The sequence below is a fragment of the Homo sapiens genome, chromosome 8 (assembly GCF_000001405.40).
Source record: "Homo sapiens chromosome 8, GRCh38.p14 Primary Assembly".
Taxonomy (NCBI): Eukaryota; Metazoa; Chordata; class Mammalia; order Primates; family Hominidae; genus Homo; species Homo sapiens.
The window spans coordinates 120,433,169-120,460,357 of NC_000008.11; the positions used below are offsets into that span (position 1 = coordinate 120,433,169).

The 27,189-nt window shown below is 35.6% G+C and overlaps 2 protein-coding genes across 5 annotated transcripts in view, besides 1 other annotated feature; one reads left to right on the forward strand and one right to left on the reverse strand.

Moving 5' to 3' along the window:
• MRPL13 (mitochondrial ribosomal protein L13) overlaps positions 1 to 11,982 on the reverse strand; it is a 49,714-nt gene extending 37,732 nt beyond the window's left edge. Inside the window, exons 1-2 of the mRNA NM_014078.6 lie at positions 11,900 to 11,982; positions 10,017 to 10,140 (exon numbers count right to left, since the gene is read on the reverse strand). Coding sequence (NP_054797.2) covers positions 10,017 to 10,140; positions 11,900 to 11,926 — 151 coding nt within the window. The 5' untranslated portion in view covers positions 11,927 to 11,982. The remainder of the gene's footprint in view (positions 1 to 10,016; positions 10,141 to 11,899) is intronic.
• Positions 11,710 to 11,889: an enhancer, noted in NCBI's record as "active region_27849". NCBI's record gives its function as "activates an Ori minimal core promoter by ATAC-STARR-seq in GM12878 lymphoblastoid cells {active_cell/tissue: GM12878}" and the evidence as "EXISTENCE:reporter gene assay evidence [ECO:0000049][PMID:35858748]".
• MTBP (MDM2 binding protein) overlaps positions 12,251 to 27,189 on the forward strand; it is a 78,218-nt gene continuing 63,279 nt past the window's right edge. For all 4 annotated transcript variants that reach the window (XR_928318.3, NM_022045.5, XM_011516962.3 and 1 more), the window contains exons 1-8: positions 12,251 to 12,420; positions 13,265 to 13,345; positions 17,835 to 17,908; positions 18,003 to 18,154; positions 20,679 to 20,737; positions 22,267 to 22,411; positions 23,385 to 23,502; positions 26,047 to 26,181. Coding sequence is in view for 3 of the 4 variants with exons in the window: in NM_022045.5 (NP_071328.2) it covers positions 12,303 to 12,420; positions 13,265 to 13,345; positions 17,835 to 17,908; positions 18,003 to 18,154; positions 20,679 to 20,737; positions 22,267 to 22,411; positions 23,385 to 23,502; positions 26,047 to 26,181 (882 nt within the window). In the remaining variant the exon portion in view is untranslated. The remainder of the gene's footprint in view (positions 12,421 to 13,264; positions 13,346 to 17,834; positions 17,909 to 18,002; positions 18,155 to 20,678; positions 20,738 to 22,266; positions 22,412 to 23,384; positions 23,503 to 26,046; positions 26,182 to 27,189) is intronic.

A 27,189-nucleotide genomic window follows, 5' to 3' on the forward strand; every position in this document is an offset into this window, starting at 1 on the left:
AAAGAATAGTCTGACAATGTTTAATTAAATGGTTGAAGTTCCTAAAAGTGACACCCTGTTGGCTACTGAGGCAGTTGGGCGAATGCAGCAGAACAGCAAATAAAGAAGGTGGGAAGATAACCAGACAACCTCAAAAAACACTGAAATTACTTTAGCTCACATTCAGACATTTACAGCAGAAGAAGATTAAGTGATTTGCAGAGGCTCACACGCTAAGTTACCTAACACCCGGTGTAGGCTCTTTCCATAACATCTATTTGGAGGAAAAAATGGAATCTTTAAACTTTCCATTAAAACTGAATTTATTTTTAAATTGTTAAGTTTTAAATATAGGTAAAGCATCTCGAGCCACTCAAAAAATATCTACAGAGAGCAAAAAAGATCTTCCAAGGGGCATTAGACAGATTGCCACAAAGCAACTGAAAATCATATTCTTTCAGTTCTAAGGTATCACATCTAATCTGGGAAAAATTGTTCTTCCTCAATAATATATGCCAAATCTCTAGTAAATTCATTCTAAGAAGCATTTCTCTACTAACTCTAAACAAAAACTAACCAGCAATTAAATACATGCTTTTAACTGTATTTCATTAACACTAAAGTCAGTATTACTGTAAGACTGTAACCCTGGATATAGCACAGTTGTTTCTGTCTAAATTTCTATTAAGTTAAATACATATAGTTTCATTTTATAATTTTTAATTTAAAACTGCACATTTAATATATATGTACCAAATGTAAATAAATCATAGCTCTAGTGCTTGATCAAGAGATGTTCTGAAGAGAAATTAAGTTGAAAAATAGTAAGCAATTTTTAGAAATAGGAATTGTGAGTTTATTTACAAAAATTCTAACCTTAAACTTCTAACTTTATCTGACTCCTCAGTATAATACTAGGTGCTCAATTAAATGGCCAAATAAATTCAAACTAATTCAGACAAAGTGAAAACTCAACAGCTTCATGTCAGGAAACCTAAGGTCTCAGATAGGTTACACCATCAGGGGCAGCTCTTAGTCCTACACCGCCTCAATGTTTTGGCCCACCTTCTCCCTTAAGCCAGAATGAAGTCATAATTTTTCCTCAAAATTGCCTGGGAGGAAAGGAAGTAATAATTATTCAACATCTTCTACATGCAAAGCACTGAGCTAGGCATTTTATACTCACTTTTAACACTTAAAGTCTCACAACTATCTTATTAGGTAAAGCTAACGTACTCCCTCTGCCTGCTACCACTTTTACTATTTAATAATGTTTACGGAGAAAACAGAGTCAGAGGTTCAACTCAGCTAAAATTATATGGCTAATAAGTGGTAAAGTTAAGTTTCAAATACAACTCCAGTAAAACTTCAAAGGCAGATCTTACCATTTCTACCACAACCAGATGGCAAAAAGTGGTAGTTAAAATGCCATAAGGAGACAATGATATCATTCACTAATTGATCACGTATTCTTTTCTGCTAAATTCTAAGATCTCAGAAGTCCTTCTCAGCAAACTGCTCACAGGTTACAGTTATTTGCCATCTTTGTACTTCCCCATGTACCAGCTCCTTGATTAGGGATTCAAGGAGACCTAGAGTATAGGATAACTTTTTGTAGCCTTATTTACCAGTTTTTCCAACACTACTGTCTGGGCCAGGTAAGCCATGCTATTTAGGTTGGTGCAAAACTATTTGCAGTTTTTGCCACTGAAATGGCAAACTCTACTTTGTTCTAGCATTTGTATAATTTTTTTGGTCCTAGATCCTTGCTGCAGACTCTTAATTATAGATCCCTCACATAGAGTTATCAGACACAATAAGTGTTTACAAAAATCCCTAGTGTTCATTTTTAACTATGTTTGAGATACTCAGATTCCATGCAAGGGCAGATTCAGATAGAGACACCAATTCAGCTTGCTGAGAGTCTCCAGCTCTTTTAAAATTTGCTTTATAATCCTTTTCCATTGATGAACAAATCCACTTGCTATGTATTACATACTTACTAATGCCATGTACCATTCTTGATGTTGGGAATACAGCAATGAATGTAACTGAAAAACCTCTATTTTTTTAAACTTTTATTTTAGGTTCAGGGGTAAATGTACAGGTGTGTTATATAGGTAAATTGCATGTCATGGGGGTTGAATATACAGATTATTTTGTCACCTAGGCAATAAGCATAGTACACAATAGGTAGTTTTTTGATCCTCACCCTCCTCCCACCCTCCACCCTCAAGTAGTTGTCTGTTGTTCCCTTCATGCCCAGGAGTACCCAATGTTTAACTCCCACTTATAAGTGAGAACATGCAGTATTTGGTTTTCTGTTCCTGTGTTAGTTTACTTAGGATTATGGCCTCCAGCTCCACCCATGTTGCTGCAAAGGACATGATCTCATTTTTTAATGGCTCTACAGTATTCTATGGTGTATATGTACCACATTTTCTTTATCCAGTCTACCACTGATGGGCACTTAGGTTGATGACGTATCTTTGCTATTATGAACAGTGCTAAAATGAACATATCTGCATGCTTTAAGTTCTTTCAGAAATCACCAAATTGCTTTCCAGAATGACTGAACTAATTTGCACTCCCACCAGCAGTGTAAAAGCATGCCCTTTTCTCCTCAGCCTTGCCAATGTCTATTATTTTTTGACCTTTTAATGATAGCCATTCTGACTGGTGTGAGATGGTATCTCATTGTGGTTTTGACTTACACTTCTCTAATCATTAGCGATATGGGCATCTTTTCATTTGCTTGTTGACTGTATGTAAGTCTTCTTTTGAAGTGTCTCTTTATGTATGTCCTTTGCCCACTTTTTTATAGGGTTGTTTTTTGCTTGTAAATTTGTTTAAGTTCCTTACAAAGAAATTCTTGTTAATCAATCTTATGCTCTAGTTGAAAAGCCAGACAATAAACAAACAAATAAATGAATATGCAATATGCCAGGAGCTGATGAACATGGGAAGATAAAGAGTAATAGGGTGAAGCGATTAATTGGTACAGGTTTTTCATGAACTTAATTTTCATTTCTCTGGGATAATGTCCAAGAGAAATGAAACTGCTGTGCTATACAGTAAGCTCATGTTTAGTTTTAGAAGAAACTGCCATATTCTTTTCCAGAGTTGCTGTACCATGTTACATTTCTACCAGCAATGCTGAGTAATCCAGTTTCTATGCATCCTCATCAGCATCTGTTGTCACTATTTTTTATTTTAGTTATTTTGATAGTTGTGTAGTATTATCTCACTGCGGTTTTAATTTGCATTTCCCTAATGGCTACTTATATTGAACATCTTTTCATGTACTTATCTGCCATCTGTTCATGTATTCTGCCCATAGCCTAATTAGATTGTTTGTTTTTTTACTGTTGAGTTTTGAAAGTTCTTTATAGTTTAGATATGTCTTTTGTTGATGATGTGGTTTGCAAATATTTTCTTCCAGTCTGTAGCTTGTTTTCTTCCCCTTTATAGGGTTGAATCCTTCCTTATAAGCTGTTTGATTTAGCATAGTGGTTTTTAAAGTGCAGGTGATTCAGTCTTAGGCTTCTAAAAGGTGACTCAAGGCACAAGGATCCAGGTTCTTTTTCCTTCAACTAGGACAGTACTGCTTTTATTTATTGGGTTTCCTTGAAGATTTAGTTTGAGAAATGTTTGAAAAATAGCTATTCTGAATTAGTGATAAACAACAAAGTTTGGCTTTGGCCTTTATGTTTGTTTCTAAGTTTGGAAGGACAAATGTCCAAATGGCTACTTCAGTGTTATTTTTGGCATCCCTGAACTTGTGCACAGCCAAGGTGATGAATGATCAGATAGGTTACCATAAAATCTGCTGAATGTATAGATACTGTAACATGCACCAAGGCATATTGTTTAATTTATTGACAATATCAATATAGTCACTTCCAAAGGAGATACGTATTCTAGATATAGCCTGAAGCAAAAATCTCCTTCAGTGCTTTGTAGGATGATATTCTAGGAGTGAGGTGAAGTATAAATGTACAATTTAGATTGCAAAATTAAAATGCTGTGATATTAACATTTGAAATACATTTTTACATTTAACTGAATAGTAAGAGAAAAATGTTAGCTAAGCAACTTTAAGAACAGCATCATAAACTTACAAGGCAGAATACTAGAGATCATAAATCTGATCTCTGTTGAATTGTTTGGTATGTTAGCATTCATAGCATTAATTTTTATAAACTGAGTGCAACTTTTGTTTCATTCAATGCAGAACAGAAATATTTTAACATAATCTAATTTTAGCAAAGCTAAAGAAAGGTTTTCCTCTGCTTCCTTTAAATACTCCTATAGTCCTCCTCAATGAATATTAATTCATTAATTCAGTTGGCAGTGAAAGGAGTAGAATCCTCATAAAGAATAAGTCATACTCCACTAATCACCATATATAACCTATTTTTTGATTTATCAGAAACACGTTCAAAAAGTTCTCAAGTCCCAAATTCAAGAGGGCAGCTCTAATTAGAAGGAGGGATTCCTTTACCAGTTCCACATCCTTTCTACCTTAACCCACATTTTCCATAAAAAATAACCTTATAATGAAAAGTCGGTTTCCACAACACTTCACAGACATCCATTTGACAAATAAGGTAGTTCAAATATTGTATACATTATGTTCAGTACATTATTTGTTAATTTTTACAACCATTTGTAGAACAATGATCATCATTTGTAATATTATTTTTCTGGGAAACTGTAGGTCAATTTTCAAAAAAAATATGTTTATAGTGATTATAAGCCCATAATATTTGCTCAATAAATGCTTATTAAACCACTAAATGTTAGAATGAACTCTTAAAACACAACATATTTATAAATTGAAAATTGTTTGCAATTTAAGTTTTGATTTTAGTGACATCTTCTGGACACGAGAAGTTTTGCTAATATGTTACATATTAAATACACTGAAACATGCCCAGGCAAGGTGGCTCACATCTGTAATTCCAGCACTTTGTGAGGCTGAGGTGAGTGGATCCCTTGAGCTCAGGAGTAAGACCGGCTTGTGCAACATTGTGAAACCATGTCTCTACGAAAACTACAAGAAACTTAGCTGGGTATGATGGTACACGCCTATAGTCCCAGCTACCTGGGAGGCTCAGAAGGTGGAGGCTGCACTGAGCTGTGATGGCTCCATTGCACTGCAGCCTGGATGGCAGAGTAAGACCCTGTCTCAAAACACATAGTGAAACAAAAATGCAATTCAGTCTTTAAAAAGTAAGTTTCTACTTTCACAGAAACCTAATAGGCAGCCACAACAGCTCTTCTGGTATCCTAGCCGAATGCCTATTCATCCATATCTAAGGTATGCTTTTGCAATGATGACCTGGTTATAAGGAAGCAGAACTTTGAGTGGACAGTTAGTGCTATATTTGGAGATGGAAATTAGGTGACTGCTACTAATTGCACTTTTCCTCAAATTTTGTATTATTTGCATTTCTGCAAAGACAACCTAAGAGATCTCATTTATTATCTGCTGATACCATTGCTAAGGAAAAAAGCAGCAGGAAAACTCAGTACAAGTGGTTAAGAATCACCAGACTGAAGTGGAATGGGGAATTTCCTACATAAGAAACAGGTGCCTAAGTTCTAGTCCCAGTTCTACTATAATATAGCTGAATAGCAATGAAATCCTGATTTTAGTTTACTCGACTGTCAATGAAGAGATGAGGTGGTTAAACAAAATATCTAAAGTCCTAAGGAATTAAACAACTCTATAAATCGGTAATTCTATGACTATTTTTCTGGTCTGCCAAAAAATATTTTTAAAGTAAACAGGTTTATAAGTGAAAGTGTAAGTCTCCTGATCACTATTTACTTTCAAAATACAGTTGATCTCTTTATTCATAGATTCCATATTTACAAATTTGCCTACTTGTTAAAATTTATTTGTTACCCCAAAATCAATACTCATAGTGCTTTTGCAGTCATTCATGGACATGCTCAGAGTGGAAATAAATTTGTGTTACTTGACGCACATGTTCCCAGCTGAGGCTGAACAAGGTGATGCTCTGCCTTCTTTCACCTTTCATACAACAAACAAGCATCCTTTTCATTTTCTATGTAGTGCTATGTTTCTGGCATCTGTGGACTTTTTCTTAGTGACTTCACTGTTTAAAATATCCCCCAAGCTTGGTATACTGAGTGCTATTTAGTGTTCCTAAATACAAGAAGGCTGTGTTGTTGCCTTATAGAGATAATATGTGTGTTAGATAAGCTTGTTATTATACTGCTGTTGGTCACAAGTTCAGTGTTAAGATATCTTTAAACAGAAACACACATAAAACAAGGTTATGTATTGATTGGTTGATGAAAATGCTGTGACCAGAGGTTCAGAGGAACCTAACTCCGTATTTCCCCCCAGAAGCAATGGTTCGGTATTCACTAATCCAGTGTTCACAGGATAACTACAGGGAACAAGAACAGGCTACTCACAAAACATCTGTTTGAAAGTGTCATTCTACAAATGATTTCTGGCAAGCATCTATTATGGGCCAGACATTGTACTGGGTGCTTGAAAAACAAAGATTAAAAAGACAAAACCTCAGATTCATATTCTATACTCACAGATTTCAGAGTATGGGTTTATTTTGATATCTTATTGAAATTTTCATTAGGTAGAGAAAAAAGGTTAGAGCAGCAAGTATAAGAAATTACAGAAAATCCTTGCTCTTGCTCAAATCAAATCATTTGGAATACTCTTCCTCTTAGCTCCATAGATCCAAAAATCTGACTTAGCTTCAATGCCAGAGCCCTGACTAAAAGTATTTTCTTCATTTTCACAACTGGAATTCATAAATGCCAGTATTCACTTAACAAACATTTCTTACATTCCAACTATGTGTGAAGCACTACTACAGGTACTGGGGATACAGCTGTGTACAAAACCGGCAAAATTTTATGTGCTCTTGGAACTTAGTCTAGTGAAAGAAGGTAGATAATAAACAGATACTTACATAACATTTCAGGTGATACATGAACACTATTTTTTTTAAAGCAAGGTAAAGGTATATAGAGTGAAAGGGTGAGCAGAGGAATCAGGCGAGGCCTCTCTCAGAATATAAATGCCTGAGCAGAAATCTGAAAGACATGAAGAAATAAGCTATGCAGATATCTGGTAAAGAATATCTAGGCAGAGGGAACAGTGTGTGAAAAGGGCCTAAGGGCTGGGCATGGTGGCTCACGCCTGTAAGCACTTTGGGAGGCCAAGGTGGGTGGATCACCTGCGGTCAGGAGTTCCAGACCAGCCTGGCAACATGGTGAAACCCTGTCTCTACTAAAAATACAAACTTAGTCAGGTGTGGTGGCATATGCCTGTAATCCCGGCTTCTCGGGAGGCTAAAGCAGGAGAAATGCTTGAACCCAGGAGGCGGAGGTTGCAGTGAGCCAAGATTGGGCCACTGCACTCTAGCCTGGGCAACAAAGTGAGACTCTCTCTCTCTCAAAAAAAAAAAAAAGGCATAAGGCAAAAATGTGCTCGGCAGGCAAGTTAATGGAACAGTATAGGTCTGAGTGGATTGACAGAAACAATTAATAGTAAAAAAATAAATAAAATAATAATAAATAAATAAATAAAGGAAAGAAAGTCAGAAAGGTAACAGGGACCATATTATTTAGGTTCTTGTAGGACACACAGAAATTTCATTTGGAAAAGATAACTGTAGTTGATCTACGGAGAAAGAATTACGTGGAGGCAATGGCAGAAGAAAACAGATCACAGTGAGGCAGTTTTTGGAATAAAACAGGATGGAGTACAGCAGCTTAAAATCAGAGTAGAGGGAGAGATGATGAGACGTGCCAGAGTTCAGATATACTTTTTTCTAATATATTTTTAAATATGTGTGTGTGTGTGTGTGAGTGTATATATATATGTACTTTTTTTATTTTTTTGGTTGAACAAAGAGGAGTCACAGATAAGGCAAAGCCTTCAAACCAGAGCAACAAAAAGAACAGTGATGCTATTAATTGAGACAGGGAAAACTGGGAAGGAACAGGTTGGTTTGGGTGAAGTAGATAAGAAGCAAGACATCTCCAAATGGACTTATTCATTGGAGATGTCTACTAGACAACAGATGAATTTGCTTAATAGAAATGTGTATATGTGAGTCTAGAATACAGGGAAGCAGTCAAAACTGGAGATTTAAATTTGGGAGGCATTAGCATATAGATGATTTTTAGATACATGAGACAAAATGCAATCATCTAAGGCATGAGAAGAGGTTCAAGGACTGGGCCCTGACGCACTTCCAATTTTTGGTGAGAAGAGCATTTGAGAGTTTAGAAGGCTGAGGATAGCCAAGGGTACTAAGAAAGGGAGAAGAAACAGGGAAACAAGTGAATCCAGGGAAACAAGTGAAGAATGTGTTTCAAGAAGAAAGTTCTCCAGATGAAAATTAGCCTGGACTCCTCAAAAGGTTAATGAGAAGAAAATAAAAGAAGGATTATTCTAGATTAAGAGATTAAAGGAACATAACAACTAAAGACAATACATAAACCTAGGTTGCATCCTGGTTCAAAAAAATAATAGCTGTAAGAAACATACTTGGGAAAACCAAAGAAATTTAAAAATGCACTGAACATGAGACCATCTAAATAAAGTACTGTTTCTTTTCTTACGTGTGTCAATGGCATTCTGGTTACATAGAGAGTATCTTTATTTTTAGGAGATGCATGCTGAAGTACTTTGGGGGAATTATAATGGCATCTGCAGCTTATTTTCAAATGGTTGAATAAAAAATATATGATAAAATGTTAACTGTATTTAGGTGGAGAGTATAAAGAAATTCATTGTACTATTCTTTGACCTTTTCTGATAGTTTGAAACCTTTTGTAATAAAAGTAAGAAAAAAGCAAAGGACAAACAACTCAGTGAAGAATTGACAAAAGACATGCACAGACATTTCACAGGACAGGAAGCTGTAAAGGCCAATAAGTGGTAAGATACTCAGCCAGCCATATTTGTCATCGAGAAAATGCAAATTGAAATCACAAAGCAAGCATTTTATTTCTACCAGAATAGTCAAAACTAAAAAGAACGAACATATCAAGTGTTATTGAAGATGAGGAGTAATGGAAACTCTTGCATGCTACTGGCATGATAAAGACTCAATAGTTGCTATGCACCTTAAAACCCAGTAATTCCTGTCTTTTGGGCATACCTTGGAAAAATTCTTCCATGTGTGCTAAGAAAATGGCACAAGAATATTGATAGCAACATTAATGTAATATAACATAATGCCAAAAAAATTGGAAACAAACCAATGCTGAGTATATTCATTTCACCATTATAATTGTTATGGTTAATTTTCTTTAAAATATCACATATTTTTATATATACATATTTGTATGTTTAATATATTGCACAATAAAAGCTAAATAAAAATGTGATCAATTGCAGCAAATGCTGTTGACAAGTCAACCAGTATGAGGACTAAAAACTGACATCTGGATCTGGCCATGAAGTGCTGGGGTAAATGAAGTCTATCAAAAACTATCTGTAAGCAGAAATCTTCTAGAACGAAAACAACTTTTTAATTTTATTTTGGAAAAAGGATACAGAAAAGCAAGTCTATTAGTCTTATTAGTGAAAATAAGCTTCCCATACCTAGCTAGCACCATATATTTTTCTAGGGGAAAAGATTTTTTAGAAGAGAGGGCAAAATTATTTCCCTTAAAAACTCTTTATATGGATGTCATCACGTGAAAAGACATATATAAAAGTGAAAGTTTAAGTCATGGGGCAAATCAGGTTATTTCTGAGTGTGAAAAGAAGGGCTACTAATAATTTCGCTGGGCAGTGGCATAAAATAGGCTTGTTCCGGGTAAACTGATCCATACGGTTTTCCAGTGAATAAGCCAAATTCAGTTTTGGGCGCTAGTATGGTTTCAGCAAGAATGGAATACAGGATCCTCAGGAAAAATAAAAAGGGCCCTTAAACTCAGCCCTGTTAAACTTCATCAAGATTCTATTCTGGCATGAAAACTACAGTGGTTAATGACAGGTCTAAAATAATACTTACTCAGTGCATGGTACACAGGTTTATGTAATCCCTGAAGTCTTATAGATGCCATAGCAGCAAGTTTGCCAGGTGGCTGCATTTTCCCATCTAAGAGATACCATATTCTAGCAAAAGTGGCCCATTGCTTGGGGGGGAAAAAAAAAAAAAAGAAGAGGAAAAAATAAAGATAATTATCATTAAAATGGAAATACAGTAATTAAATTTATTATCATATATCATCACGTTTCTACAATTAATGTCAACAATTTCTTTGAAAAATAACTCTATTGCTAAAGAATTTTTGTTTTCATTTCTATTTCTGGAAAAGGGTTGTTTTTTCTAATCATTCTGCAAAGACAAACACAGTAATTATTCCTTCCTGGTTTCCTGTTAGCAATATGACTTACGTTTTGTTATAAATATCCCAAAGATATATTTCCCTTTACGGTATGACTTTTTTTTTTTTTTTTGTATAACACATAATAGAATCTGGAGGGGCAATGAGAAGCTTGTAAGAAAGTAGAAGCTGTTTATGAAGGTCTTCAAAAACATTTAGAGATTATTAGGTACATTATATTGAAAGCTGAGTGGCCAACTGGAAACTGAAGACGATTCAGGAGTTCAATTCCTGGGGAGAGTTAAATAGAACAATGTAGTTGGGAAAGTACAGATGGGTGATGTGGAATAAATTTCAACTTTAAAAAGTTGCCTGAAATAGGTATCTTTAGGTTGCCTCAGGAATAGAGCATTGTTTTTACAGTCGTCATCAATGTATTCAAATTCTTAGAAAATTCTAGGCCAGAAAGATCTCCACCAGATGCTTTCTCTATGCATATACACAAGAGGCTAAACAATGCTGGAAAAATAGAACGAGGCTAGCTGGTCTTATTTTAAATTTACTTATCACAACCTCAAACTAGTCTACATATAAGAAAAAGGCCAGTTTTTGTCCCCATCCATTGTAGACTAATAGTTTGATACTTAGAAAAAAAAAATTTTTAATGAAAAAAATACAAATGCTGGGCGATGTCAGATTGCTGAAAAAGGTTTTAAAATTTTTATTTTACTTCCTGTATTTATCTCATCACAGACAGGCAACAAACAGCCCAAGGAAGGAACCATACTTGGAGCGGCACTGAGTTGAGAGTCATCTTAGACCGATATAACCCAAACTAACTCCTATTCTTCCACCTGAAACCTGGTTCAATCTCAGCCTTCCCTATCTCAGTTGATGACACACCCTCCAGTTGGACAAACCAAAAAACCTTGGGGTAATCCTTGTTTCTTCTTTTGCTGTTGGCCTATACTCAATATTCAGGAAGTCCTACTGGCTCCACCTTCAAACAAAACCTGACCACTTTCAACACACTCCATAGTATTTCTAGCGTGGCCTCTGCACCATCACGTCTCGCCTGGATTACTGTAACACCCTCCAAACATATTCTTTGCTTCTGTCCTCTACTAACCCCTATTTCTGAACAGTCTATTCTCGACCCAGCAGCCAGAGTGCTCCTTTTGACACCAGGTCAGATCCTGTTACTCCGTGGATCAAAACCCTCCAAAAGGTCCCCATTTTACTCAGTCAAAAAACAAATTATTGCAAGGGCCTACAATGCCCTATGTGATCCACCTTATTACCTCTCCGATCTGCTCTAATCCTCTTCCCCCCGCCCCCCCAAGAAAGACATGAAAAGGGCAGATTGAAAAGAAGAGGGGACGAGTAACAGACGAACGACATTAAGTGCTTGCCAGACTGACGACCCTCTTGTGCTTTCCCAAGTCACCTCTTGGCCGAGGGTCTCGGCTTCCCTGCCGCCCCAGCTTCACTACTTAATCTGCCGGAACCAACGCTCTCCTTCTGCCAGTATAATGAACCCCATCAAGCCATAAGAGTCCGAGCTCACCTGGGGCGCCCTAGAGAAACTCGACATATTCCTCTACTAGCAGGACCGTACGTCCTTCTCCTAGTAGCCACGCCGGGTCACTCAGCCTTACTGGCCCGGCGGGAAACGCTAACACCCAAGCAGGACAGTTCCTAGCCCGTCGAGCACTTGTCGGCTTCTCCCTCTTCCTCGAGTTTCCTCCAGTCTTCTCCACGGCAGCAATTTCGTCATGAAAGGAGCATATAATGCAGTTATTTAGGGAATAACTCCCAAAAATATCTCGCTTGGTGGAAAAACTGCGGAAAACCGACGGAGGACATAATTTCCAGCCGACCTAAACGAAGGGAACCGGAAATGCGTCATAGCGCGCGTCTGTTTGGATGTGGAAGCCGAGACCTAAAGTTGGGGGGTGATCTCTGAGGAGATGGATCGGTACCTGCTGCTGGTGATCTGGGGGGAAGGAAAATTCCCGTCGGCGGCCAGTAGGGAGGCAGAACATGGGCCAGAGGTGTCGTCGGGTGAGGGTACTGAGAATCAGCCGGGTAAGCGCTGGGATGAGAAAGAGCGGGAACGGCTTGTGGAGAGGGGAAGAAGTTTGAGTTTTGTGATCAAGTTCTGCTGAAGAGGGATCAATATGTAGTTGTCCCACGAAGCTGGGACTCTATCTGGGATAGAGTTAATGAGGGCTGCAAAAATAGCATCTTCATGGAAAAACAGGGACAAATTTGTGGATGCAAGATTCCAGCCCTTAGAAGTTCTTGGCATAGTAAATGTTTAACTTAATAAATTTTCTATGCCTTAGTAATGGAATTTCCTGCTTTTTGGAAATATATGCATTTATTATTTCTGCTCCTGTGTTTCACATGCAAATAATACGGAAAGGAGCAAGATGGACAAAGATCTTGCTGTCCTACAATTTACATCTAATGGGAGGAGACATCCCACATATAACCTAAGTTTTAAAAACAAATGATGAATTTTAAATGATTTTAATTGTTTGCGATTGCACTGCTTTTTGGTGCACCCGTCTAGATTCAATATTGCATTTTATGTGTTCATTTGTTTCGATCAAACAGGCATTTTGAGGAGTAAATGTATGTGGTTGTGTATAAGGTATTGTCACAGAATTTCCCTTCTCTTTAAAATTATTCTTTTGAGGGGAATTTTGCATTCGTGCTAACTGACTGGCATGTACAGATCGGGAGCCTTTTCTATTTTCTCTGATTGCTTTAGATTTTCTGTATCAAAACTTGAACAGATCTTGAGCAGCGTTTAGTACTTTTATGTACAACCTACTGGTCTTGAGAGTCTCTGATGGTGAAATTGGACTAAGTTAGATTATGTAAATCTAGAGCCCTTTGAGTTAGTCTATCTTTTCTTTTTCAGACTTCACAGCAGCAAATGTTTATCACCTCTTGAAAAGAAGCATTAGTGCTTCAATTAATCCAGAAGATAGTACTTTCCCTGGTAAGTATAATAAACTCCTCTTTTCTCTGGCACAGCATTTGTACTGGAAATTAACTTAATTAATTTGGACCCTAAGGAGTACAAGGAAATACTTCTTGACTGTGTACAAGGCACTGAGTTACAGAGATAACTAAGGGAGTACAAAACTGAAAAATAAATTACCCCTTTCTTCTAGATGCTTGAATATAGTAAAGTTATGAAAATTATTCTAGGTTCTCAGCTTGAATTTTGCTCCTTTTATGAAATTTTCTTGCCTATCTTAGTTCTGTATAACTAAGGGGAGTGTGGCTTTATGAGGATGATTTTATCATGAGTAAAAATATGTAAAGCTCCCACACGGATTTCCTTACCATTTATTTATTTATTTATTTCTGTTCTTAATTACCTATTTCTGTTCTGATTCTCTTAAAAGTACTTAATAATTACTAAACACGATGAGCTTTTCTCAGTTCTTATCTGCTTTGACTTTTTGAAGTATTTCGCTTTTTTGACCAACCGTACTTTGTAAAAATCTTTCCTCCTTTAGCTTCTACTGGCATTATACAAATGCATTTACTGACTTTGATAGTTATCTTTTCTTTTATTCCTGCTTCTTGTCCTTTACTGGAGAATGTCCTTTAAACGTTCTGAAAATGGAGATGCCAAAACAGACCAATACCTAAAAACTGAAGGAAGTTTCTTTCCATGCAAGGAAGGGTCTGCTCCTTTTGATAATTTTGTAGTTCCCGTGACTGTACAATCTGCACCTTTCTCTTCTTTCATTAGAGAACCTCTTGTCTCTCGGTGTCAAATAACACCATTGGGGAATGATTTCTAATATGTGTATGCTACTCTAGCTTGTTTTCCAAGGCCTAGTAATACTCATTAATTTTCAAGTTGGTATAATTTTAGTCAATACCACTATTATTGCAGGAAAGATTTTCTTTGATTTGTACCTCAAATGTATATGTAAAAGAGCTCTTGGGAGTATTCCAGGGGTTCTCATGATAAATTTTACTTCCCCCTTGCGTGTTTAGGGTTTCTTATACACACGGTCCTTGTTTTGTATGATAGTGTTGTTCTTTATAATTGATTGTGCAAAGCAATCCTAATATAATCAATGAGAAAAATTAGAATTGTCCCATGACCTTTAATATCTTTTGTCAAAACATTAAAAATTCTCTTACTGTTATAAAATTTTATGGAAATAAAAAAATAGTAAAAATAAAATTTATTTTGTACCCTGTAATTTTAAAACCTTAGGTACATTGAGAATTAAAGTGTTTTATTTCTTTGTAAAAACCTTACCAAGAGTAGTTTGAGCAGTGCTTGCCACCTTCACATCATCACGTAACTTATGATACAGAATGAACATCTTTTATTGGCGAATTATCATATTCCAGTTGTATCAACTTCCAATGTTTTATTCTTCGATTTTTTTTTTCTTTTTTTGAGACAGGGTCCCACTTTGTTGCTCAGGCTGGAGTCCAGTGGCTCAATCATGCTTCACTGCAGCCTCAACCTCCCCGGCTCAAGTGTCACTATCCTCCTACCTTAGCCTCCTGAGTAGCAGGGACTATAGGCATGAGCCACCACACCTGGCTAATTTTTTAACTTTTTGTAGAGACAGGGTTTCATTATGTTGCCCAGGCTGGTCTTGAACACCTGGGCTCAAGTAATCCACCTGTTTTGGCCTCCCAAAGTGCCGGGATTACAGATGTGAGCCACTGTGCCCGACCTGGACTTTCAATGTTGTGAAATATCTCTGAGTTCCTTTAATATTAAGGTTTTTGCTAGCCTCATTTTCTCTGGGACATCTTCACCTTTTTGATCAAAAGGTGTTTGTCACAGCAGCTATTTTTAGAACTCTATTTACATTAGCTTTGAAGATTGCTTTCAGTGTTAGCACTTTTTGTTTCTTTGGTGTTTCTTTATCTCTCTCTTTTTAAAAAATTCCCTCATCCATTTATCCATTTTTATAAAATATCACATGGGTTTACACTGGGAAACCAGAAGGCAACACAATTACATCCTTTGCTACCTGTGTGTGAACTGAATGGCACTTGCACAGTGACCAATCAATGACGTACTTTAAAAGTAGTAACATGATTGGTTACTGATCATGACACACATCTTTTATGTATACAGTGGTTTTGTAGACTGAGAAGCTTGCAATGAAGTCTTAAACTATGCAGTTATAGTTAGTGAATATACCATGGTAACTGAAATTTGAACCAGGTTGTTGGGGAACTGGTGTTGTTTAAGCTACAGTAACTGGAATTTGTGCATATCAGAACCATGCAAATGGAAACTGCCTGCGCTGAATTTCCTGCCATACTAGGATTATTGATTTCAGTAATATGGCAAGTTTGAGGGACGGAAAGTACAATATGATTATAATTGGGATAAGGGTGGAGAGGTAGGCATGGCTATTTAGAGGATTTTGTAAATAGTGTCAGGGTGTTTGGATTTTTTCCTAATGGTAATCAGCAGCCATTAAAAGCTTTAATTAAGGAGGAGACATGATCAGATCTGTGCTTTTGAGGTATTCTCCCTGCAGTATAGTAGATGGATTAGAGAAAAGTATAGCTATTTCTGTACTGGGGGATTCTGTAGAAGACCAAATGAGGAATGGGAGAGGCAGCCAGGGTGGAGGAAAGTGGATAGATCTGAAGGAAATTATGGGGGTAGAATTCACCTACCTTAGCGTTGAATTGGTATGATGTAGAAGAAGGAAAGGATGAGAAAAGAATCAAGGATGACATTAGGTTTCTGGTGTGGGTAATGGCATGATGGTGGCATTTAGTGAGAAAGAACCAGATTTGGAGGGAATATGACGTGTTCAGTTTGGAACCTGTTAATAGTTGCCTGTAAGATGCAAAGTAAGAAGTAAAAATGTAAAAATGTTTTACATGTTTACTAAAATAAAATGTAAAAATAAAGTAAAAATGTTTTATAAAAGTTGGATATTTGTGTCGGGAACTCAAGATGTAGGAGAGGGCTGGAGATATTAGGTTGGTGCAAAAATAATGGCAAAAAAACCCAATTATTTTTGCACCAATTAATACAAATTATAGAACCAATGTACAGATGTCAGGTGAAGGCATGAGAAAGGATGGGATTGCTTACGGATAGTAGGGAGAACAGAAAGCCTCAAACTGAATCCCAGTATTTAGAAGAACTGAACACCAGTTTTTAAAAAGAATAAGGAGCAGCCAGAAGGATGGGTGCCACAGAAGCCAAGTGTTTTAAAGAGAAAGTAGTAAAATGTGTCATCTTTGATTCTTCTCTTATGCTGAGAGGTCAAATAACAACAGAACTAAAAACCGCTAGATTTAGTAACAAGTCAGTTATTGGTGACTTTGGTGAGTGTTCTTTCAGTGGCATATTGGAGACAAAAAACAGATTGAAATGCATTTGGAAGGAAGTGGAAAAGTTGATGAGGAAATGGAGACAGTCAGGTGTGGACAGTACCTTCAGAAGTTTATCTTTGAGGAAGAGCTAAGAAAGTGAAGTGAAGATGAATTTAAAGGGACCCCTTTTTTTAAAAAAGAAATACTTTGAGAAACACTTGTGTGTATTTAAATGGCAATGACAAAGAACAGACAGAAGGGAGCAGACTGAAATGCAGGAAAGATGATCAGTGGACTAGATAATAGAATCAGTGGTCTCAGAGGAGGTGTGGGGGATAACATTGAATTAGAAGGACAGTGCTTCTTACACGTTAAAGGGGAGGAAAGAGGAAAGATTAATGGCAATACAAGTTGAGTTGTATCTTTCCTGAGAGGATGTTACAGGGATTATTACCTAATAGCTTCTATTTTGTTAAGGCAGAAGGAGTCTTCTGCTGAGATTGTTGGAAGAAAGTGGTAATAAGAATTTAGCATCTTACCTAGCTTCCTTCCATTAGTTAAGCCTCAGTTACCTTTCTTCTTCCTGTTTTGAGTCTAATTTCTATACATAGCTCTAAATTCTTTATGACTCCTTGACACATACCCTGGGGTGACCCTTAATTTTATATCCTCATATAATACTCCATTCTCCAAGAAGAGCATCTTCCTTATCTTTAGACTGGGTTTGCTCTTTAACGCCTCTGTCTCTAGTCAGGCTGAACCAACCTGCATAGTCTTTGGAGAGGGAATTGCTTTCACTAAAATGACTTACATGGTTTTGCTTTACTCAGTAGTAATTGAGTAGCTGTATTTTCAACATCTTTATGGTTGATTGTAATCTGTGTGAAATGATGATTAAAATAATAAAAAATAATAATACGAAATTCTGAATTGTGACAAATGAAAGGCAAGTATTTATTGTGAGTAAAGAATTTTGCTCTTTAGGTAGATTGTTGTATTTGAATTTTTAGTAGGGATTTTTAAAAGATCCACATATGTATGTTGGATAATTATGTAATATGTTTCAAAAGTTATGGTCTGTAAGTACGGTATATATGCTGTGTCATCTGCTTATTTATGGTATGCCTTTTTAATAATAATGTGGTTTTATTTTCAAGCCTGTTCAGTGGGAGGTATACCTGGTTCCAAGAAGTGGTTCTTTGCAGTGCAGGCAATATATGGATTTTATCAGGTAATATAAATTTAAAGATAGCTACTAATGAATGTCTTTACTAATATAAATAATTTCATGATCCATTATTTAATACAATCTTTTGATTTGTTAGTTTTGTAGTTCTGATTGGCAAGAGATACATTTTGATACAGAAAAAGATAAAATTGAAGATGTTCTTCAAACGAATATCGAAGAATGTTTGGGTGCTGTTGAGTGTTTTGAAGAAGAAGACAGTAATAGCAGGGAATCATTATCCTTGGCTGAGTATGCTTATATGGTTTTTGTATTATCATTAAAATACTTAATATTAGACAGTTATTTTAATCCATGAGAATGAAGATTATATATTTTAGCATCTTTACTGAAGAAACTCTAGTTAATTGAAATTTTTGACTCTCAATTTGGGCCTTTTATTTGAATAAAATTCTTTAAAATGCATGTTTCTTAAGCTTACATAATGTCAAGAATCATAAAAAGTGATATTTTAATAAACATGTTCCTTTCTTGAAGATAAATTCTGCCTAATATTTTATTTTATTTTTGAAACAGGGTCTTGCTGTGTCACCCAGGCTGCAGTGCAGTGGTGCAGTCACGGCTTGCTACAGCCTAGACCTGGGCTCAAGCGATCCTCCGACCTCAGCTTCCAGAGTAGCTGGAACTACAGGTGTGCACCACCACACCCAGCTAATTTTTGTATTTTTTTTTGTAGAAATATCATTTCGCCATGTTGTTCAGGCTGACCTCGAATTCCTGAGCTCAAGCAATCTGCCTGCCTTGGCCTCCCAAACTGCTGGGAGTACAGCTGTGAGCCACCGTGCCTGGCCAATAATGTATTTTAAAAGCTTGAATAGAAATGTTATTTAATGTTAATAGCTAGCATTCATACCAAAGTATCATTTTCATTTTGCTATTTGAGGCTGAAATATGTGACTTCTTTAATTTATGTGTATTTGCAGCATTTCAGGTACCTTTTAAAATCCATAGAGTTTGTGAGGATTATATGTACATGATTGAGTTCACTTTTAGGTTTTTTTCAATTGTGGTACAATATGTAAGTTGATCCAGGTGACATAAGTTGTGATAATAATTTTTCTCTTGATGAAATATCCCACCTCTTATAGTTAATACCTTTTATTTTAGTCTTTCATAACATTTCATGACAAAACTGCTCTTATTTTAGTATTCACATATTATATCTGTAAGTAGCTGTAGACTTAAAAATTTTCATTTTCCTTTTTCCAGATCATATTTGTTTGTACTGATTAATAAAAGGAGACCTTTCCAAACCAGAGAAATATCATTGAACCAGGGATTAGTAGAGGTAGACTTTATTTACACAATCTTAGGCCAGTCACGTAACTTCTCTGGTCGTTTGTTTTCTCATCCATAAAGTATTGAAGTACTTTTAGATAATTTCTTAGGTGCTTTCATTTACCCTTAAAAACTCTTATCATCCCATATGTTTTCCTACCACTGTTAAAGACAAGTATAGCCAGGCACAGTGGCTCACGCCTGTAATCCCAGCACTTTGGGAGGCCGAGGCGGGTGGGTCACAAGGTCAGGAGTTCAAGACCAGCCTGGCTAACATGGTGAAACCCCTTTTCTACTGAAAATAGAAAAAATTAGCCGGGCGTGGTGGCAGGTGTCTGTAATCTCAGCTACTCGGGAGCCTGAGGCTGGAGAATTGCTTGAACCCGGGAGGCGGAGGTTGCAGTGAGCTGAGATTCTGCCACTGTACTCCAGCCTGAGCGACAGAGCAACACTCCGTCTCAAAAAAAAAAAAAAAAAAAGAAAAGGCAAGTATAAAAGTTTCTGATAAGTGACCTAATAATTATTTCCACAAGGGGGAGCCTGAAAACTAGAGTTTACATAAGATGCCTTAAGTTTCTAAGACGGTGGGTTTATAGTAAAGGATTTAAGTACCTTTATGCTATATAATAAACTTTTTTGAGAAAAAAATTGCATCATATAGATAAAACTAATAAGTTTTGAAGAATCTGAAGAGGGCGTCATATTCTTTAGTCAAGACTGTTAAATACCATTCAGAGAAAAATCATGTCCTTTTTTATTAAACACTTAGCATTTTCTTACTTTTAAGATTCAGAAAAATGGCTGGGTGCAGTGGCTCATGCCTGTAATGCCAGCACTTTGGGAGGCTGAGGCAGACGGATAACCTGAGCCCAGGAGTTTGAGACCAGCTTGGGCAACATGGCAGAACCCCGTCTCTACATTAGCCAGGCATGGTGGTGTGTGCTTGTAGTCCCAGCTATCCCAGCTATGCAGGAGGCTGAGGTGGGAGGACCTCCTGAACCTGGGGGATTGAGGCTGCAGTGAGCTGTGATCATGCCACTGCACTCCAGCCTGCGTGACAGAGTCAGACCCTGTCTCAAAAGAAACCCAAAAACCAAAAATAAATAAATAAATAAAAGGTTCCAAAAAAAGTTTGGTCTGTTAGTTATGATTTATATTTAATATGCTAGTTATAATTTAGGGAGTTTTATTTCCTTTTTTTTGATTGTTTTTGGGGTGTGGGTAAGAACTTGTACTCAGGGTTTGAATCCTAGCTTCCATACATACTAATTATGTAACTTTAGGGAAGTTATTTACAGTTGAGATAATAGTATTATAGTAGTACCTCCTGGAATTGTCATAAAGATCAAATGAGATTATACATCTAACATGTTTAACAGTGTCTGTACAACAATCTTTTTAGTTAATATTACCTATTATGATTATATATAAATATATTTATGGGGTTTTCTTTCCCTAACTTACCCTTTTATTTTAGTCTCTATGAAGAAGCTGCAGAAAATTTGCATCAGCTGTCAGACAAGCTTCCTGCTCCTGGTAATATTTTATGACTGCTTTCAATAATTTGTATCTTATCTTATTACACTTTATGAATAAATGATAAATTTGTTCTTTATGTTAGTGTTCTCACTCTAATCTTTAAATTAAAAAATGCAAAACAATTTTTAATTGAAGTTGATACAGAATGTATCCATGGGAGTACATTACCGAGATGTAGCAGTTCTTTTCATTGTTTTCATTTAGTTAGGCAAAAATTAGAACTTTGGACATTAAATAACTATCTCTGTTTCTTTAGTTATTGCTGAAGAAGAATCTTCCTGCTACAGACTGTTGCTTTTCAGAGTATGTTCTATAGAAGACTAATCCTATAAACAGCTCTTTAAAAAGGAGATTATTTAGCCTTGATGATTTGGATAACATTCTTTTATGGTGAAGTTACTATATGCATTGTCAAATGGAATGTCATACCATAAAAGAAAGTGTTTCCTCAGCATTTTTTTATAGAACCTATTTTTTTCCCCATAGTGGAAAGAATACCTGTGACATACTGTATCATAATATTCCTAAAACTGGTTTTTTTCTTTTTTCCTTTGTGTTAATCAAGTAGCTGTCATCTAATATTTGGTACAGTTGGTATCCGCAAATACTTTGAAGAGTATTCTTTTCTGAATGCTTTATTGAAGGTCATTAGTAAGTAAATATTTGTACTAGGAGCCAAGTGTACCATGATGAATAAAGCATCTGTGATTAACATAAAGGAGCTTTTAGCTTATAGTCAGCCAGATCTCTATATTCAAGGAGATCATATATTAGTACAAAAAGCCCCACATAGAAAAATAACTGAATGAGTTGACAAACGTATCAACTTTTAAAATGAAATGTGTTGAGGTCAAAGTATGCACTGAAATATTACATAGTTGTTTTGGCAAATTAGAATACTTTCATTATCAAATTTATCTCCAGTTTGTTTCATTTTGATTTTTGTAGTCCTTCAGGAAATGTATAATTTTATAAAATTTAAAGTTTTGTGAAGTTATTTTTTCTCAGGATCCAATGATGATGTCAGTATAATTGGTTTTCAGAGTGTTTTATTGTCCTTTATAAAAGAGACATCATTTATTTGAACATTACAGTTTTGCACTTATTCATTCTCTTTTGGATAACAAAATTATGTTTAGAAAAATATAATGAAATTGCACAGGTTTTTTTTTTCTCTGTTGAGTACAATAGCATTGATGATCATGAGAGTGATGTGTGTAATTAACCACTGCTGCAGAATTGGCAAGTAATTATGATATAGTTTATTGTTTTCTAGTATATGCTAGCTATTTCAAGATAACATGGCTTTCAATAAATGATGAACATTTAAAAAGTTTGAATTCCTAAGGGCGTATATTGTTTTGGAGAATTTCAGAAATTAAAACTAAAAGCTTCCTTTGTCTTCTAAATAAATATAAAACTAATTTTTCTAAATAAACATAAAATTCAGTTCTTCAGGGTACTATTTTGAGACATTTCAGATCTAACTTTTTAAAAATTACAAAAATGCCTTTTTCTCTTTCTAGGTAGAGCAATGGTAGATATAATACTGTTGCTTTCTGACAAAGATCCTCCTAAATTGAAAGACTATTTACCTACTGTAGGAGCATTAAAACATTTGAGAGAATGGTATTCAGCAAAGATCACTATAGCAGGAAATCATTGTGAAATGTAAGCTTCTTTGTTCATATTTGATTATTGTCTGCCTTGTCTGTTTTCACAATTAACATACTATTCTCTTTTCAGACTCAGCGTTTGAAAATTATTTTAATATGACAACATAAAATTCTATGTTATACCATGATTGCAAATTTGTGTATTGAGAAGAATCTAGATGTTTCATATTTTATATTTATGTTTCTGAGATATTTAAGTTTTTAGTAAATATTATTGATGCTGTTTTACAACCATTATTGAGGATTAATTCTATAAGCACACTGTGTGCTTTTGAACATAGATACACTGGATTTGTCATGTTGTATTTGGTTTTCTGTTATGTGCCAATGTAGGAATAAATATACACTGTTGTGTTTTATGATATTCTAGCAAGGATTAATTGTATATTACAATTTTGATCCTTAAACATTCAGTTGGATTTAATAACTTCATGATTTGTTTTCATTCAACGAATGTTTATTGAGCAATACCTTTATGGCAAGCATAGCAATAGATGCTTGTAAGTTAAGAAAGTGAGAAGACATGATCTTTTTCATTGAAGTGCAGGGAGAAACAGGAATGCTAACAGTCAAGAAAGTCTGTGGTAAGTGCGTTACAGAATTCCATGCAAAGATGTATGGGAACAATATAGGAGAGCAGTTCTCTTTTTGAAGATAAGGAAGTGACATTGTGCCTGTGTGTGTGTTTATGTACATCTGACACCTTTAAGCCAATAGTAAGAGGAAAGTCTATTTCTTCATCCTTAGTACTAAAGATAATTACTCTAAATTTGTGAGGATGTTGGGACTAAATGAACATGTGTCAGCAATGCACTTAGAGACTGACTTAATGGGTGTTTCATATTAATAGGAAAAATACAGCAATATAAATTTTGCAATTTTGCCTCTTAGGCTTGTAGTTAACTATAATGATTAAATCAGTGAAATATAAAACCCTGTGTTTAATTGTTGTAATCTTTTTTTTATAGAAACTGTCAGAAAATTGCAGAATACCTTTCTGCTAATGTTGTATCTTTAGAAGATCTCAGAAATGTTATTGACTCAAAGGAATTATGGAGGGGGAAAATACAGATATGGGAAAGAAAGGTAAATGGATTATTCACAGTTTGCCAAGTAGGCCTTTCAATTTTATTTACAACACAGATATTTAAATAAATCTTAATGAAAATGTACCTTATAAAGATATTCTAGAATAGCACTAAGTAGAACTTTCTGCAATAATTAAATGTTCTATATCTGTGCTAATACACTAGCCTACAAACCACTTATTGCTACTGAGCACTTTATATGTGAGTAGTTCCACCAATGAACTGAATTTTTATTTGATTTTAATTAACTTTAATTTAATCACATAATAATGTGATTATATTCAAGTGCTGTTTCCAGAATGTAATGTTCTTTTAAAATATAGAATTTTTAATCGAGTTCATGTTGTTTATCCAAACTGCTTTATTTTATTGCATGTGTAAACTACTAGAAAAAACTACTTAGAGCATATTGTCTTCCCATAATACTACCTTAGGTGATCTTTGCTGTTTATTAACCAGCCCTCAGATTTTGAACAAATTTTTTTAACCTTACTGGACCCCAGATTTCTCAATTATAAGATGAGAATGTTGTATTAGGTGGACTCTTCTAATCCTGAATTTCTATGAAATTTCTATTTCATTTTGACGTCTCTTACTATGAAAGAATGTTTGTGGGTTTTGTAAGTTATGTCCATTTTGAAATAAGTGTTCATAGTAATTTATGTATTTTTGTAGATAGGCAAAACTAAACTAAGAAAGTTTCTTAATGTTTATTTAGGGTAGCATGGGAGCATGAGTAGACTTTTGAGTTCCTCTAAAGTTTTGTTACACTAGTTACTAGAAATTTTTCTTCCTTTTTAATTCACCCTTAATAATGGTTTAATAAAATCTCTGATTAGACAACAGGAATCAATGTGGCTGGATTTGTCTTGTTGATTTGCATGTTTGCTCATCCTAATCTCAGACAGGTTAAATCTGCAGGTGAACTTTCTCTGCAAATGTTTTAGTATAAAGAAATCCCACATAGGCTGGGCGCAGTGGGTGGCTCACGCCTATAATCTCAGCACTTTGGGAGGCCAAGGCGGGCAGATCACGAGGTCAGGAGATCGAGACCATCCTGGCTAACACGGTAAAACCTCGTCTCTACTAAAAATGTAAAAAATTAGCCGGGCGTGGTGGCAGGTGCCTGTAGTCCCAGCTACTCAAGAGGCTGGGACTCTTGAGGCAGGAGAATGAGGCAGGAGAATGGTGTGAACCCGGGAGGCGGAGGTTTCAGTGAGCTGAGATCGCGCCACTGCACTCCAGCCTGCGTGACAGAGTGAGACTCCGTCTCAAGAAAAAAAAAAAAAACCCAAAAAAACCCCACATAGCCAAGTGGAAGAGTGGAAGATACAGTTTGCTAGAATTGCTTTTGTATGTTTTCTGAAACTGCATGCTTACATACAGAGAGATAATGGCAGAGTTCTTTTCATGTGATTCTTTTATTCTCTTGAATAGGAAATTAAATGTTCGTATCTCCACTGGATGCATTTAAAACTTGAAATCACTTTTTTTGGTAGAGAACAGCTTTTTAGTCAAGAGGCATCATGGTGATTAAGGACATAGATTCTAGAGTTATATTGCCTACAATCAAATCCCAACTCTTTTTTCTTTCTAGTTTAACGTAGCATGTTGTGCAACACTTAGCCTCTTGGTGCTGCAGTTGTCTTCATCTGTAAGATGATGATAATAGTTCCTATCGCATAGATTTTTGTGAGAATTAAATTATTTAAAGCACAGAGTAACCACTCAGTAAGCATTAGCTATCACTGTTGTTGTGCCTACCATTACTATTATTAGCATCCTTACTATTACTACTTCTGCAGCAATTGATCTTATCAGCAACATTTATCAAAGACAAACTATGTGAGACACTGTGCTAAGGATCTAGTAAAGAATAAGATAGAGCCAGGTGCGGTGGCTCACACCTGTAATCCCAGCACTTTGGGAGGCTGAGGCAGGTGGATCACCCGAGGTCAGGAGTTCAAGACCAGCCTGGCCAACATGGTAAAACCCCATCTCTACTAAAAATACAAAAAATTAGCTGGGCATGGTGGCAGGTCCCTGTAATCCCAACTACTCAGGAGGCTGAGGCAGGAGAATCACTTGAACCCAGGAGGTGGAGATTGCAGTTAGGCAAGATTGCGCCACTGCACTCCAGCCTGGGCCACAAGAGTGAAACTCCATCTCAAAGCCAAAAAAAAAAAAAAAAAGGAACAAGACAGACAGCTTCTGTCTTTGCATAACTTACAGACTGGTAGGAAGCCAGATATTGAACAATGCAAAAGAGGTTGTTTGGTCCTGTGGCTGCATAGAATGAGCTTAACATACTCTTGCCAGCTGGTGAAGGACCAACGAGAGCTTTTCATGAAAACCTGAAAAATTGATGTCTAAGTTAAAACAGGATGTGTACCTAAATGTGAGAAGCACACTTTTGAGCTGAGGAATCAAAAATAAATTTATACATGGATTTCCCCTCAACTTTTACATTGTAATAAGATGTATTAATCTTTATAGCATTATTCATGATACTTGTAACTGTGTTTTCTTGGTCTCTTTTCAGTTTGGATTTGAAATTAGTTTTCCTGAATTTTGTTTAAAGGGAGTCACACTTAAGAATTTTAGTACTTCTAATTTAAATACTGACTTCCTTGCCAAAAAGATCATACCATCAAAGGATAAGAATATTTTGCCAAAGGTAATCGTGTTTAATTTTTTTGTGTGATCATTCATGTGTATTTTTGTTCCTATAAAATATGTTTGAATCTTGACTTAATATTACTAATATATGTGCTTAAGTGTGCTCACTAGCATAATTTTTAATATAATTAAGTACTTAAGTTATACTATGTCATCAACATTAAATTTTGGTGAAAGTGTCATTGTTTTAGATGTTTAAAAAAATGTAATGCTACTAAATGTGTATAGTCCTGAAACCACCTTTGGTTTGGACTTTACTATGTGACCTTTCTAAGACTCAGTTTGGAGAGAATATGACATAGAGAAAAGAGGATATGTTTTGATGTTAGGTAAACCTGGGTTTGGAACCTAACTGTGTCACCTATAAGTTGTTTATAACCTTGGGTAGATTGATTAACTCATTTGTGAAGTGGAGGCAATAGTAACACACTTATCTTACAAAGTTATGAGGATTAAATGAGGTGAGAGTTTAATATGTGACATAGTACCTGACATATGCTTAACTTATAGTGTAAGAAGTATCAGTTCTTGCCCTGTATCTCCTATACATTTATTCTTAAAATGCAAGTAATTATAAAATATAATAACTAGGAAAAGGCTTAGTTGGCTTTTTAACATTGGAAAAATAACCTAAGAAGAGATATTTATATGAAGGTACCTTAGAATTCACTTTAAAAGAACTAATTTAAGAACATGGAAAACAGTGGGCATGAAGTTAAAGGATGTCAAATTGATGGTTAATATTTTCTAATCAAAGGGTGGTACAAAAAGAGGGTATCATTTGATTTGAACTCATTTCTCAATATTTGTTTAGAATTGCTTACTTTAAGTAACTTACTATGGCCATCTTTCACAGGAATATTAAATTCTTTTCTAAAAATTAGAATCGTAAGATTCATGACCTCAACTTTTCTTCAAGTATGAATAATGTGTCCAAATTTTTGCTACTGTTGAAGAGAATCTTAGGGTACAACTTCTTCAATAATGTAAAATTCATATTCTCTCT